We start from the raw sequence: 16,017 nt of genomic DNA, 5'->3' as shown, positions 1-16,017 counted from the left end.
GGGAGTTTCATCAACCAGGGAAGATTGACCCTTATCAGAGGACAGAAGATTAGAAGTTGACACCACACCTAGACAAACTTCTTCACAAGTTGTCATATCTCGCATCTATTCTTCTAAGGGCCATAATAATTTGTTCCATGCAATTATTTGAAATTTCTGTTGTCATTCATTTTGGTAGTATTCTACTCATTGATTTTTTTAATCTGTAAATTTGAAAATTAAAAAATCATAATGATGCATTTTTCTTACAATGCACTAGTTTTTTCTCTAATGAGATATAGTTACTGCTTCTTCCATCTTTAATAACAAAGCATAAGCATAATAGTATTATTTAGGGGAATTATTTTAATAATCATGATTTTACTTGGTTAGTTCTTCAAAATCAAATCCAACATGAAGATCTTGAAAGTACTGTCTCATATTTCAGAATCGATGACTCTTGATTTCTCTCAATTGTTCTCAACCCTGATTGCACTCAAGGATCACTTGGGCAGATTTGCACATACACCAGTAGCCAAAACACTTATAAAATCAATTACTTCCAAATCTCTTGAGTGTGGGTCATAGATATCAGTACTTTTTAAAGGCTCCCTGTATGATTCTCACATTTATCTAGAACTAGGAACTACTAATTTGCCTTATTAAAGTTTCAAAAACAATTATACTAAAAATAAATGAAAGAAGCAATCTAAATATATAGCTTCAGAAATAGTATATTGAAAGAGTTGCTATTTTCATATGTTGATATTTTATTAAGTGGGAGAATCTCATTTGGATACTAAATAAAACGCATATGAAATATAAACTTTACATCAAATCTCTTCATTTGTTTTTAACTGACCTCTGACTCTATAGTCATATTTTGCAGCATGTTACATTTATGTAGGCTCTTTTTTTTAAAATTTCATGAAAACAAACAGTGGCAAAAACAATTTCCTTTAGTTCCAATATGTTTACTTTTCTAAAATCACCCTCTGAGCTGCTAATAGAATTTTATATATCATACTCATATCATTAATCTACTATGCAATCAACAGCTTGAATTATGTTGATAAACTTAAAAGGATAAAATTTAGAATTCCCTATTGAGAACAAATTAAACTAATTACTGAAGAAGACACTTTTGACTTCTTTGATCTCCTAGGTGGTATAGGGATTCATATGATATTCTCATCATTTTGTACTGTTAACATATCAATTATTAACACAAATATTTTAATACAAGTTACAAAAGGGAGCACCTTTATGCCATTCCAGAATAGAAAACATCAAGAAGGATATTTCTGATTTCCTGGTCTATATATTCAGATATAGTTTACAAAATACATTGTAACTTTATGTTTGCATGTTAGCATTAGACATAGGGATATTTTATGATAATTTTAACTCTGCCTCTTAGCACTTGAAAGTAAGCTTTTATAGCCTCTAGAGTCATTCTAAATGTTTGTGTCAACTGTACATTTTTCTAATAAATATTTATTGAAAATTCTGATTTTTTTTGTAGGAAAACAGAAGACAAAGCATATGTGAACAAAATACATTTGAAAAATCTGGCTATAAGTCTTTTACATCAACTTACTCTTTCAATTTCAATGGTTTTTAATTGATTTACATATCTTAAAAAACCTTGTTGCTTAAGCTTTGAGCAACTATTTTTGTCAAACATTGACTGCACCAAATATAGATGGCTTAACCCAGTATTTCAGGCCAAACATACATCACTTTCCTACTTTGTCTGCCTATTTCAGTCATATGACTCTGGCTGCTCACTCTCATAGGATGTCATGTGCCTATGATCTACGTCTACTATCTCATCGGAAAATTCTCAACCTTTACCAACTTCTGGAAGCTCTTAAGAACACCAGTTATCCTTTACTTTCCATTCTGTCATTTATGGACTCATTTAAAATTCTTTTTTAAAATTGTATATATGCATACGACATTTTTTAGCACTGTTATGCTGTAACAGGAGAGTAAAACGTTACCTTGAGTGGCTAGAGTTCAATATCCTCAAAGGCAAATACTGTTTTCTCTATTTTATTAATTTATATACAACGAATTTAGTAGCAAGCTTAGCCCTGGGTGAATGCATACTTCGATTAGTTTTTGTAAATTTACTTTGGTTGCCTACATTCTACTTTACTACAGGACAATATTCTTCTACTCAGAGCCACACTTTTTAGGGGATGTGGAATATTCTATAATTGTCCCTTTGTTCAGCTTTGTATTCTCAATTGAGTAAAGTAATTAGATAAATTAATATTTTAGGATTGTAAAATAAAACTGGTAATAGCTTAATGTGTTAAGCCCTGAAAGGTGTGCTGTGATGTTAGAGGACATTTTTTCATAATATCCTTTCAGGCAGGAACACAAGCATCTGGAAAACAGCTAAGAGCAAGAAAACATGTCAATAACTCCTTAAATATCATCACGTAAGGAGCCATCTACTTTACTAACACAGGACTTCTTAATAGAGGAGTAGAGTGAGATATTTAAAAAGACTAAGTTGAATGAATGATTTTACAGTTTTTCACCTCCCGTAAGTTAGGATTCCACCCATATCAAATAATTCAAATATGAAAAGAACTTTAAAAATAACATTTGATATTCAACACTTTAATCAACCCTGAGCGCCTCTCTTGGAAAGTACGGTATGTGTCTACAAGACCTTGAAACAGTCCCTGACACGTTGCAAGTGCTCATTAAATACCTGCTTTATGAATTAATAAATATATGCATTGATTTTAAACTAGATAAGTGCTCTGTAAAGCAAAGGGTCTGAATGCTGTAATTTTACAATACATATGTACATATTTGTTGTTTTTATTATCAAACTAACTTGAGGGCTGGCTTCTTTGAATAGTATAATGATATTCACAGGTTTTTCACACATGGGTAATATTACATCATTCTAGTGCCATATATACAATTTACAAGTTTATACACTTTAAATTTACCTAATCTGTTTTCTTCATCCTTAGTGGAAGACACACTATATTTAGTTTGGTTTTGCTTTTAACATGGCAGGTCATTTAGGTTATGATTGAAACCGTATAAGGTTGTTTGCCTGCTATGGCTGACTTGCTAACATACAACCTGTATAATAACGTATAGACATCCAAACACTTTGATCAAGATCTAAATTTTCTAGCTTATTATTTGTAGCAATAACAGTACAGCAAGATGAAAATGTTTATTACTCTACATGTCTGGACTGAGTGGGAACTTTCTGATCCTCTCTGCTGTGGCCAACTTCCTGGCAGATTGCCTAGATAATACACAAGGCATCTGGGTCATTTTTAGCCATCCACTTGTAAATAAGGTCATGTGTACATAATTATCCTTTCTTGGAAGAATGAAGTAACTCTGTGATAAATATTATGCAAGAAATAAATACAATAAAAATTCACAGATTTTTCCAATACCTCATACTTACTTGTTTATTCTTTTACTAACAAATCTGGCACCAAATAACTCCTATTACAATTGTTTTACATTTGTTACTGCTATAGTTCAATTTAACCATTATTATGACTAAGGAATATTGTAAGTACACCTTGATCTGTTCCTATTTTTTATACAGTACTTTGGGGGATATTGACAAGGGTGTATTAAGTATCTATCTCTCTATCTTCTATCATCTATCCATTTATTTCTATATGAACCCATGCATATATTACTACCATTTATATTTTGAAAATCTCCATACATACCACTGTATACATTCATATAATGTAGACTTCTGTATATTTTACATTATATATCTAAAAATTAAGCAAAGCATGCACTTGTGGAATTAATTTAGATAATTTTCCTTTTCTAAATACGAGTTCTTTTTCTTCTCTGCTATGACAATTTTAATCTGCCACTGTAGTATCAGAGTTTCTACAGATATAAATCAACTGTGCTATTGATTTTTCCTGATGGAATAATGAAAGAATTAACTGCTGAATGATTAAAGATCACTTTGTGTCAATTAAATGGCACAGAAGTGGTTACAATACAATAATTATAATAATTTCTTCACGAACATATCATCCAAAATACAAATTTAGCTCTTCTCACTAGGATATGGTTTGTTTATAATAAGGGTGAATCACGGTAGAATAAGTGAAATACTTTTCACTTTTAACAGATCTAGGAAAGTACCCATAGCCTAGAATAGGCATAGTCTTGTTAGAAGTTTTATGTAATCAAATTATTCAAGTCTACATTCCTTAATATTCCCCTAATGTCAGATGAATTAATATGCATATTGGCAGGAGAATAGCTAAATAACTTGTCTAACTGGAAAGATGTATCAATAGGTTAGGAAACAAATTAGGATGTGTATAAGTGGAAATTTTGTAATTCAGGTTGTAAAGTCTGTTTAAGGAAATGGATATATTTTAACAGGTGCAGAAAAATGACAAAAATAGCATTCAGGACAGTCATAAAATGTGTCAACTAGAAATATTTGTATAATTAAATAGAACATAGATATTAAAAAACAAAATCATTAACATGATCCTATAAAAACTGGATTAAACCTGAATTATGACCAAACCAATTTACAATAAAAGCAAATTGGATTTAACTACCATATGTAGAAGAATTGAGAAATCCAGTTTGACAGATATCCAGTTTGACAGATGGTAACTAGAGAAAAAATGAAGAAAAAGAGAAAAAAACAACCCCGAGATGGTAAGAGAATGTAGGAAGGGTACCCAGAATACTGTAGACATGTGCATAATCCAAGAGAGAAAATATCAAAAGTTGTTATCAGAAATGAGTAATAGTTCCATGTACTGTCACTACCACCACCCGAGAAAAAGAGAAATAATTTTATCAACAAAATGCACTTTGACAGATACTTAATAATATTTATTTTGATCATATGAGAGACCTTGAAGTTCCATTTTAGTTTGTACTGACAAAGACTATTCCTTGACCTAACTCTAGTTAATCTCCTTGAGCTCCACTAGGGCATTTTCTCAAGAACCCAAATGTAGCAAGAATGCTGTATCAGTTTAGCCAGAATGCCCCACCCTCAATATCTGATAGTCTTCAATATCTGACCAAATCCCTCATCTCTCACTATCTCTCAGGTAATGTCTGATCACCCTGACCTGCCTTCTGTGGAAATCCTGATAGGTCAGTTCAGCAAGAATTACTCTACTTGATCAGCAATTTTACATGTACCAACTCCCCAACCCTGCTGCTCCTTGCCTATGAATTCCCTTATTTCTTATTTACAGACTTGAGCCCAGTCTCTCTCTACTACTGCAAAACTCCACTGCAGTATTCCTTCACCTATTACTATAATCCTGAATAAAGTGCCTTACTGTTTTAAGAAGTGTCAGAAAAAATTGTTTTTAACAGTAATGCATATAATTAACACCGAATTTACCACTGTACTTTTTTTTGTTGTTTTTTTTTTTGTTTGTTTTTGTTTTTGTTTTTTGAGACGAAGTCTGTCGCCCAGGCTGGAGAGCAGTGGCACGATCTCGGCTCACTGCAAGCTCTGCCTCCTGGGTTCACACCATTCTCCTGCCTCAGCCTCCTGAGTAGCTGGGACTACAGGCACCCTCCACCACGCCTGGCTAATTTTTTTGTGTGTTCTTGGTAGAGACAGGGTTTCACCGTGTTAGCCAGGATGGTCTCGATCTCCTGATCTCGTGATCTGCCCACCTCCGCCTCCCAAAGTGCTGGGATTACAGGCATGAGCCACTGCACCTGGCCCCACCACTGTACCTTTTTACACAAAGGAAGTGATGTCTGTGTTACTATAGACAGGTGATTCTAATGAGTACGGTGGCTCACTCCTATAATCCCAGCACTTTCAGAGGCCAAGATGGGCAGTTCTAAACCAGCCTGGACGACATGATGAAATCCCATCTCTACAAAAAAATATATAAATAAGCTGGGTGTGGTGGTGCACACCTGTAGTCCCAGCTATTTGGGAGGCTGAGGTGGGAGGATCACTAGAGTCTAGGAGGCAGGGGATGCAGAGAGCTGAGGTTGCACCACTGCACTTCAGCCTGGGTGACAAAGGGAGACCTTGTCTCAAAAAAAAAAAAAAAAAAAGACATAAAAATTCAGGTAGTAGAAGAAAGAAAAGTGTAAAAATACCTAAAAATGGGGTCAGGCACCGGCAGTGGCCTGTAATCCTACCACTTTGGGAGGCCAAGGTGGGCAGATCACTTGAGGCCAGGAGTTTGAGACTAGCCTGGCTAACATACATAGCAAAACCCTGTCTCTACTAAAAATACCAAAATTAGCCAGGCGTGGTGGCTCTGTGCCTGCGGTTCCAGCTACTTAAGAGGTTGACACATGAGAATCGAACCCAGGAGGTAGAGGTTGCAGTGAGCCGAGATCATGCTACTGCACTCCTGCATAGTCATCAGGGCAACAGAGTGAGACACTGTCTCCAAAAAAAATCCCCCAAAATGTACATTTTTCAGTGTCTAGAGTTTAGAATGCTTCTATGCCCCAAAGCTAGATATCAAGTATTATAATCCAACAGCTAGGCCTAAGAGCAGATGAAAAGCTAAAAGTAGATCCAACATTTGACCCAGCAATCCCATTACTGGTACCTACCCAAAGGAAAAGAAGTCACAATGTCAAAAAGACACTGGCATGCATGTTTATAACAACATAATTTACAAGTGCAAACATATGGATTCAGTCTAATTGCCCATCAACTGATGAATAAAGAAAATATGATACATATATACCATAGAATTCTACTCAGCCACAAAAAAGAATAAAATCATGCCTTTTGCAGCAACTTGGGTGGTACTGGAGAGCATTATTTTAAGTGAAGTAACTCAGGAATCAAAAACCAAATACTGCATGCTCTCACTTGTAAGTAGGAGCTGAGCTATGGGTATGCAAAGACATATAGAGTGGTATAATGGACACCGGAGACTCAGAAGTGGGGAGGTTAAGAGGGGGATGAAAGATGACTACTGGGTACAGGGCACACTACTCAGGTGATGGGTGCACTAAAATCTCAGACTTCATGTCTGTACATCTATGTAACTAAAAATCTATGTACTCCTAAAGCTAGTAAAATAAAAAAAAAAACTAAAGAATATTGAATTTCACAGCTTTCATCCAGATCACCATAGAATGGTCCTGATGGGATTCAGGATACACTATGTCCAAATATGACACGCTGGAAGCTAAAGAATTTGAGAAAACAGGAGAAGCAGGAAGTTCATTCTTTTTTTTTTTTTTTTTGAGACAGGGTCTGGCTCTGTCGCCCAGGCTGCAGTGCAGTGGCGCAATCTCGGCTCACCTCTGCCTCTCAGGTTCAAAGGAGTCTCCCTTGTCAGTCTCCTCAGCAGCTGGAACTACAGGCATGCACCACTGCGCCCAGCTAATTTTTGTATTTTTAGTAGAGACGGGGTTTCACCATGTTGGCCGGGCTGGTCTCGGAACTCCTAACCTCAGATGATCTGCCCGCCTTGGCCTCCCAAAGTGATGAGATTACAGGTGTGAGCCACAGTGCCCAGCCGGGAAGTTCATTCTCTTGCCCCAGCCCTTCTCCCATGAAGCAGGTCATAAAACCTAGGACGAATTTCCTAATCATCCCTTGAAGAAGATAAGAGCTTCATTTGAGAGGTGCCCACCCTATACCTGGAGGAAAGGAACATCCTTATCAGTGAAGACACAGAAATACAGAGCAAAGCAGGTCTTGCAAAGTTCCCTCCCAGTTTATTACCATTAGATCATATCCCTTTGTACAATTACATTTCTCCCTGACTGCTGTCCACTCTTAGCAAACCTACCTTAAAAATACACAAGTTTAACTATTACTTGGGTCTTCATTTCCTTAAGAAGGCTTTTGTGTCATGTAAAACTTATTAAATGAATTTGTATGTTTTTCTCTTGTTAATCTGTTTTTTGTTCTAGGGACCTCAGCCATGAATCTAGGATGGGTGAGAAAAAGTTATTTCTCCCTACCCTGCAGTCTTTTTCCTTGTTATTGTGTTCTTCAGTTTTAATTTTTTCTTTCGTTTCTCAATTAGATCTAAGTGTTCTTTTTTTTTTTTTTCACCTTCTCCCTTTGCCTCCTTCCATTGGTCCATCTTCTTTATGCTCTTACTGTAGTGGTTTTTAATAAACTAATATTGACATTTAAACATCTGCAGAACTGAATTAATATGCTAGTTTTAGTTCAAATGGATTTAATTTGGTTCTCCTGTATTATTACTTCAAATCTTTTTTTTTTTTAACACAGGTGAAGGCTCTAAGTTTCCATCATTCCTTAGTGCAGAGTACAAAGGAGAACAAATGTAACATTCATAAGAACCTAGTAGAAGTTTAGTGTAATGGGAATTAATTTGTCATCTTTTGGTGTGGCATATCTAAATTCCTAGGAGAAAACTAGTAGTGACATGTTAATAAATTGTTTCTTACTATGCTTCTTCATGTAATTATTTGGAAGTAGTTTTGTGGAGTTATATTGTCATTTGTGCTAAATGCCAAGAATAAAGCAGTCTTGGATAAATTTTACTTTTTCATCGTGCTTTTTGGATTGAAACTGCTGTTCAGAAAAGTGGGAAAATTACTGTTTTCTTCTGCACTGGGAGAATGCAGGCTGAAGCCTTACACCTGGAGTTAGCTTTCCTGGGCTGTGCTCCAAGCTGCCAGTGCATGTTGTGGATTCTGAGACAAGAGAACTACAATCCCCTGGCCATTAGAATCAGGTGGGGGTAACAACTTGTTAATATGGCCAGTATGTCTAAATCAGTAAGTCCCAAGCCTAGGTCAAGGAAAGAAACTGCAGTAACTTTCCAAATGTTTAAGAGCCCAGCAATACTGTGAAGGCTAAAAAAATGCCTTCTAAAGTAGTAGGAAATCGCATACCTGCATCAAGATAGGCTTTTGTCTTGTAATCACAGACTTGAATACTCGCCTCCTTGCCATTTGATCTTGAATAAGTCTCATTTTGTAATCTATTCACTAAACCAAAGCACAGTGGGATGTGTGCCTCTGATCGAAGTCATTTCTCAGTCTTCTACAAAGACAAACTACATCAATGGTCTTTACTTATGTCCTTATTACAATAAAAAGAATACTCTAAAACAATCTGAAAGCATTTAAAACTAGGTTTGAAATTCAGTGAAAGAGGAGTGTTGTGTGTGTTTAAGACTATCTCCTGGGCTATTTAGTCAGCAACCTGTAATTTAACTGATAATTAAACACGTTTGAGTACTATTGTCTGAAAATATTTATTTTATTTAAATCATTTATTTATCCACATAATAATAAAGAATTTTTAGTCATTTTTCAATTTCTCTTGGAAGAAGGAGAGAATAACCTGGTAACTATATTCTATATTTAGAAAAATTAAGATACCAAAAAATAATCTGCTTTAATTGTTAACAAGCCAGAGACAAATCAAACAGCTCCATGTTTCCTCTCAATAAATATCTGCACTTATTCTTGCATTCAAGGGAAAAAGAAATCCAAAATATGTATAGTGATAACAGATGTGATCTTAAATTTTATAGAAATATTCCTATCTATTCATATGGTAGTAGAATATTTAAATTTCCTATTAGCATAACTGGAAAAAAATAACCTTGTTGAACTGAGTGAGCTGCTTCTATAGAAATATTCTGTACTTAATGCAATATGCCAGAAACAATCAATAGAAGTGTGTTTCAATATATATCCTAAATAAATTCTTTCTTAGCTAAAGGTTAATGCTTGTCCTGAAACAGCTTAAGACATTTAGTTCAAAGAGGAAAATAATGGTCCCTTCTGGTGGCATTTCCTAAATAACACAAAACAAGCAGGGCATTAGTTTCTTCTGTCTTTAAATCTGATAGCCCAAAGGCACATATGTTTGTAAGAGTCCTTTATGATATCCTGCATTTCTCTAAGTAATATTGCTTGACTTTTTCCTATGAGGTGAAATCCTTCCTTTTGTACTTGGGGGTCAAGGTGCTCCCAATTAAAATTTGTGAGGCCTTAAAAAAGTGGGCCAGTCACTGTATTTTAGTAATTATGCTTCCAGCAAGTCAAAAGATAGATCTGGAACTGCTCATGCCCCTTGCTGGCATTTGATACCTAACCTTAAAATTTCTGAGGTCAACAATGACAGGCAGAAGCATCCCCTGTGGGTGTTACTAGGCCTTAGTAACTCTTAGGGTAGAGCACACATTTCTGCATTTGTCTTGCCAAGATGAGTGGGACTGTCTCAGAATGACTGAATTTTGCATTTTTCTATATCTAGAAGCTCTGCTGAGGTTGGGATGGGATAGACACAAGGAAGAGTGGTGGCCTCTCCTCAAAATAACATCCACCAGTGAGTCTGTTTAAGGTAATTTGTGACAAGGTATTTACTAACCTCGCTCTAATCTAAAAGATATTAGAGGAAGTGGTGAAAGCAAGACTAGGAAAAAATTGAGAAAGATAATCCAGGTTAACATCTTTCTTTCTCTTTCTTTCTTTCTTTCTTTCTTTCTTTCTTTTTTTAAACAGAATGCCTCTCTAATCATTCAGGGCAAACTTTTCTGTATGCCTGTGATGGCCAAAATTGATCACAACTCTATATTTAAAAATGCAAAATCCTTAATAAAATACTCAAATATCTTTTAAGATACTGAATTTATTGTCTTTATTCCTCCCTAAGTTTCCTCTCGGTGATGATCAGATTAATACTGAAACGCATCTGGAAAAAGATGTCTTGCTATGGAGTCAACATAGTTGGCATTAAATGTTATTTGGGATTGATTCTAAACTATATGGGGTCAAAAAAGAAACAGACTTCAGCATATACATATAAGGCATTTCACATGAATATAAGTTACCATCCTGTTTCCTTGCTTCCAATTATATTGATTAGAAATGTAGCAATTAATTTTTTATGGGAACTAAATGAGCAGAACATAAATGTTGGTTTATTAACAGGATACAAATGCATTCCATAGAAATAAAGCATTGCTGGTTCTCATGGATTTAGAGCTGGGAACTGGGAAGCTATCAAGGATCAGATAAACTACTCAGGAGATCTCTCTCTCTCTCTCTCTCTGTCTCTCCCTCTCTGTGACAATGTATGCAGCTAAACGTTTAACAACTCTCAGGAACAGGAAGCCCTGATTTGGAGCATAAGTTCTATGGCAGAAGTACATCACTATGGCTGATTTCAAATCACTTGTCCACTTGAAGCCACCCCAGATGCAAAACTTCCTGAAAATTTAGCAATTGGTTTCTGTGAAGTGAAACAAACTGATTTCAGTACGATTGTTTCTCTAATCCACAACGGTCTATTGACCCTTTCTCTCTATGAATTCAAACTATCCTTTTGATTCTCTTTGATGACTATTTTCTCTATTAACTTAACATTTACATGCTTTCATGAAAATGGCTGTTCCAGCTCCACCTCTACATGATTTAACATTTCCAGGACCCACACATGTATTGCCAAAGTTTCTATGCTCCTAATTTCAAATTTCTACGGGAGTAGCTTATTGGCTTAAATTCCCTAAATTTAAGGGAAAGACAGATGTCGATGCCAATAATCCTAGTATTACACAGCCCAAACTGGACTGCTGCTTAAGGCAGAAAAATCCTTACTTGTAGTATGAATATACAATGAACAAAAAAGGCGAGAAACTAGGCTATCGTATACATGAATAATTAACCATGGAAATATATTGTGGCAGCACGTGTATATTTTTAAATACATTACTGAATTTTTAAAGAAAATAATGCTTCAGTGCAACTCAAGTTTAACACGAATAATAGTACCACTACATGTGCTATTATTTTACATTTTTAAACTGACAAAAATATTGTAGATTGTACCTAATTTGTGATTTTCATTTACCTTTGGATAAGTGATGAAATGAAAATCACATATATTAGTATTCTCTTTGATAAACCTAAAAACAGCAAAGGTTATAACTATATATAAATCAGATAAAATAATATTCTGAGAAGAAATCAGCATATGCATAAGGACAAGCTTTGTATACAAAGAGATCTAAACAAAACAGTGTTATTATAAATATTTTTTCAAACACTCCAACATTAAATAACCTCATGACCTCTTTTATTTTTCATAAAACAGCAGGATTTGCCTTATCAACATATCATACATATATTTTATACACATACATGTTTATATTTGATATTTTAATCATATAATTAGGTTATGGATTTTCTATGTTCACTGGCTTGTATATAAAGAATTCTATACAATTAACACTCTTCAGAAGTAACTTATAAGGCTCTTGGTGACAAAAACACATTCTCTATCTGGATGATACAATCTTTTGTAATCTTTCAGCTTTTTATCATTGGTAAGTATTCAGCAATGAAATACGTACAAGCTTGGAATGAATCACTCAAGTTCCCTGATACCAAGAGAACTTTATTGGCCCAGAGATATTTGTAGTGTTTTTTTCTTTCTATTAAAATACATTTTGATTTATATAAGGATTATCTACTCAGTAGAAAAATGGAACATATAAAATCAATAGATTTCCATGCTTACCAAACCAACATGATGTATAACAGGTGATTCTGAGATCCATTAAAACAATCTCATATCTTAAAAATACACGTAATTCAATAGAAAACCGTAGGAATTTTGTGACTGTGTCATTGAGATGATATTGTTAATGTACAGAGACATGCAAAATTCAAGCTGATGTCTTCCTCAAGCACAACGATTGTTGATACCATAGAAGCAACTGAGATTAGCTCAAATGAGAGTGGACCAAACTGAAGTTTCCAATTCTTTGTGTTGTTTTCAAAATATGTAACATGGCTTTGTGTGAATTTTATAGTAATTCTAGATTTTAAACAAAATCTAATATTATCAAATATGGTAATCATTCTACTGTATTTGTTATTGAGGGCACGTATGTAAACAAGTTTAATTTCTGGCATAGTATGTTCTCATTGAATAATTAATGAAGACATATACAATAACATCTATAAGCATCAAGTGGTTATAAATTCCCTGAAAATGTGTAGAAAATAATGTGATGAATATGGGGGACCAGACCAAGACACCTAAGCATCCCATTCAGTTTGAAAAGCAGTGTAGGCTGGTGACTTGGTGTTCCTCAATATATTCTCAATATATCTGTCCAGCATTGTTTTTAGAACTGGAGCAGATCACTTTGCTTTAGGAAAAGTAAAGAAATGGGACACTGGGAGCAATAGTCATCCTTTATCATTTATTCTGGATTACAGTCCTACACTAGCATACTCCTTTCAGTAAAAATTAAATCTTGCAGTTAACTGGATGGAACCTCTTGGGAAAGCAGTTATATAGCCCTACAGTGCTCCATGAGTGTCTGCCTTTGAGCAAGGTCTCCATCACGTGGTAACAATGGCACCCAGCCAAGTGGACAAGTGGTTTTGTAAAAACAGTTTGTATTTGGAATCTGAAGCAGTCCAATATGTTCAACTGGATCCACCAGAAAGTAGGAGTGTACACCAAAGTGACATGTGAGTGAGAGGAAGCCCTAATTTTTGAGTTCACCTCTTCCATCCCAAGAGGCTTTTGAAAATAAAACTTCCACCTACATATAAGATTATCTCTAAGAATTCCTGTAAGACAACCTCTTCTATCTCAACATATTTCTAGCGTCATTTTAGTGCTACTCTTACATTAGCACTTTAGACAACCGCCCAGCTGGTTACTACTTAAATGTGGCTTGGGAATGGGCATTCGTAAATTTTTCTGAAGAAAGGGTACACAGTTTTTGTAACCAGATTCTCTAAAGGATTCCGATCTCAAAATAATTGGAAACTACTTTCTTAAAATAATATGAGTTTGGGTGGTATTGACAGGTTTCATGCTTTAGGAAACAGTGGGAAGAGAGAAATTGGTATATCTTCCATTTGAAGCATTTAATTATATTGAAAAGGATATGGATTTTATTTAATTCTGTTTTCTCTGAATAGCTGTGTGATCTTGGCAGGAACGTAACATTTCTGAATCTGTTTCACCAATAAACATTAAAAAGAAGTATTTGTCATCTAATATTAAATTTTTTTCATATATTAAATGTTTTTTAGAAGCCAGTGTTTATTTTTACTTACACTATAACATTATTTTATTTACACTATAACATTATTTATGTTTATACCTTTTAATATAGCATGAATGCCAAAAAACCTTATTTGGTTGGTTCAAGGGAAAGAAACACACTCATCGTTGTATTCACATATCCCACCAGACCATAGAGTCATGGTATTATGATCTAGAAAATAACATTCTTTTTAACACATTTGAATAATTTTGCTCAGCTTAAGGATAAGCTATGAGACAAACATAAAAGAAATAGGAATTTTTAAAAACATATACATGACAGTAAGCAATACTCTTTTAAAACCCTTTTTTTAACTAAGAAATTTAATTTTTTAAACCTACTCCTCATGTTAGCAGTTGCCTAGAAGAAGTGGTGACTCAGTCCATTATCAACTTGTCTTTCTACATTAGCAGGGAAGTGGTTAACTTTTAAGCTTTTGTACTTCCCTAATCATGCAAATGTGGGTTACTCTAAGTACAATCAATAGCCACACAAAGTTTTATAAACTTTTAAATTAAAAAAAAACTGCACATCAAGTTTTATAAAACTTACCTGTACTAAGTTTCTAAGAAGAATTACTGTTTCTAGAAGAGAAAGAATTTTGTTATGATTTATCTTAAAAATATACAGATGATAAATTTGAAATAGGGTATGTACACATCACCAAGGTACTAATTTTTATGAAATTAAAAAGAAGTGAAGCATCTAAATTCATATTTGATTAATCAGTAGAAAGAATAATTTTTGAGCCAAAGAGATACATTGACCTAGAAGGAACCTGAGCTTCAAATCAGTAAGGAATCATAAGAAGATAACTAACTACTTTAGTTCAAGTTTTCTCACACAAACTATATTCCAGTGTTACAAGGAAAATTTCATGTGATTTTATCAGTGACTTTTGGGAAATTATGAGACAAGGCTGCAACTCCGGAATTCAGCAAATGAGTCTCAGCATTCAAAAGGAGGGCAAAGGTGAATTTTTAAAACTGGGTTTATACTGATCCTGAATGAAATTACATAGTACATATGAATATTTCAGAGCTTCTGCAGAGGAAGAGTACAAAAACAAGCATCCAACAGAGTTTACCATAAACCATTTGACAGATTAAAGTAAACAACTAAAATAATACAAAAACATGAGTAACAATTATATGTTCATTCTTTGCCTGCCTTTTCCGTAAGTTCAGACAACTCCATTTACACGGGCAAAACAAAGCTATTAATACTTCCATTTCTTCATTCATAGTAATCACTCAGAATCCTCCTGCTTTTCTGTCTCATCTTCTCCAATTCCATTTCTTTTTAAGCTACTGATTTGCCCTTTTATTTTAGCCCTCTTCCTGTAAGTGGTACCTGAAGTTTCTGCGGCTTTGATTTTTGAGACTGCATTGAGACTGGTCTGTGCTCAGCTTTTTATTGCTTCTGGTCTTCATGGAGACACTGCCTCCTATCTCACTAGTTGATGGACCTGACCAACCTGCGCCCAGAGGCATAAACAGGTAGAATCATTTTGTCTATTTCATCAAGACATTTGACAGTGTTCCTCATAATAATTTTGTAGGCAACACGCACCTAGAGAAATATCCATTAGATCCTGGTAAAGTAAGATGAATTGGAAGCAGTTGTATGAATGAAGTGTGCAGAGTAATGAGTTAGTGCATAGTTTCTTAGTAGCCTGGCTTGGGTCTGCTCCTGTCCTGCTTTGTTTCAGTGTTTTGTCACTGATTAATTGGAAGTGATAATCAAGTTGGCAAAAGACAAATTTGGGAGCCTGGCTAACACAATGGCTGACTAAATAAATTTCTAAGACATGGCTTAACCAGCTGGGCCCAAAGATATATATGGTATTGATATGAAGGCTAGCATTTCTTGTACAAAAATGACTTAAATTTTTCTTGATAGAGGCTTGTGAGTAAATAGGCCAAAAAACTGCCAGAAAGCTGATGCAATCTTCATATTACTTAGTAGA

The 16,017-nt window shown here is 34.7% G+C and overlaps 1 protein-coding gene across 11 annotated transcripts in view, besides 2 other annotated features; it reads right to left on the bottom strand.

The window, feature by feature from the left end:
* The window catches only part of EPHA6 (EPH receptor A6), a 946,939-nt gene that overhangs the window by 626,594 nt on the left and 304,328 nt on the right, over nucleotides 1-16,017 (bottom strand). The gene's annotated exons all lie outside the window — the stretch shown is intronic.
* Nucleotides 8,512-9,234: an enhancer, noted in NCBI's record as "OCT4-NANOG hESC enhancer chr3:96844549-96845271 (GRCh37/hg19 assembly coordinates)". NCBI's record gives its function as "activates a minimal SCP1, AML or CMV promoter by ChIP-STARR-seq in primed H9 embryonic stem cells {active_cell/tissue: H9 hESC(primed)}" and the evidence as "EXISTENCE:reporter gene assay evidence [ECO:0000049][PMID:30033119]".
* Nucleotides 8,760-9,054: a silencer, noted in NCBI's record as "tiled region #866; K562 Repressive non-DNase unmatched - State 24:Quies". NCBI's record gives its function as "represses a minimal TATA promoter and a strong SV40 promoter by Sharpr-MPRA in K562 cells {active_cell/tissue: K562}" and the evidence as "EXISTENCE:reporter gene assay evidence [ECO:0000049][PMID:27701403]".

The sequence above is a fragment of the Homo sapiens genome, chromosome 3 (genome assembly GCF_000001405.40).
Source record: "Homo sapiens chromosome 3, GRCh38.p14 Primary Assembly".
Lineage (NCBI taxonomy): Eukaryota > Metazoa > Chordata > Mammalia > Primates > Hominidae > Homo > Homo sapiens.
The sequence above is the reverse complement of the archived record's forward strand: the minus strand, read 5'-3'. Positions and strand labels throughout refer to the sequence as shown.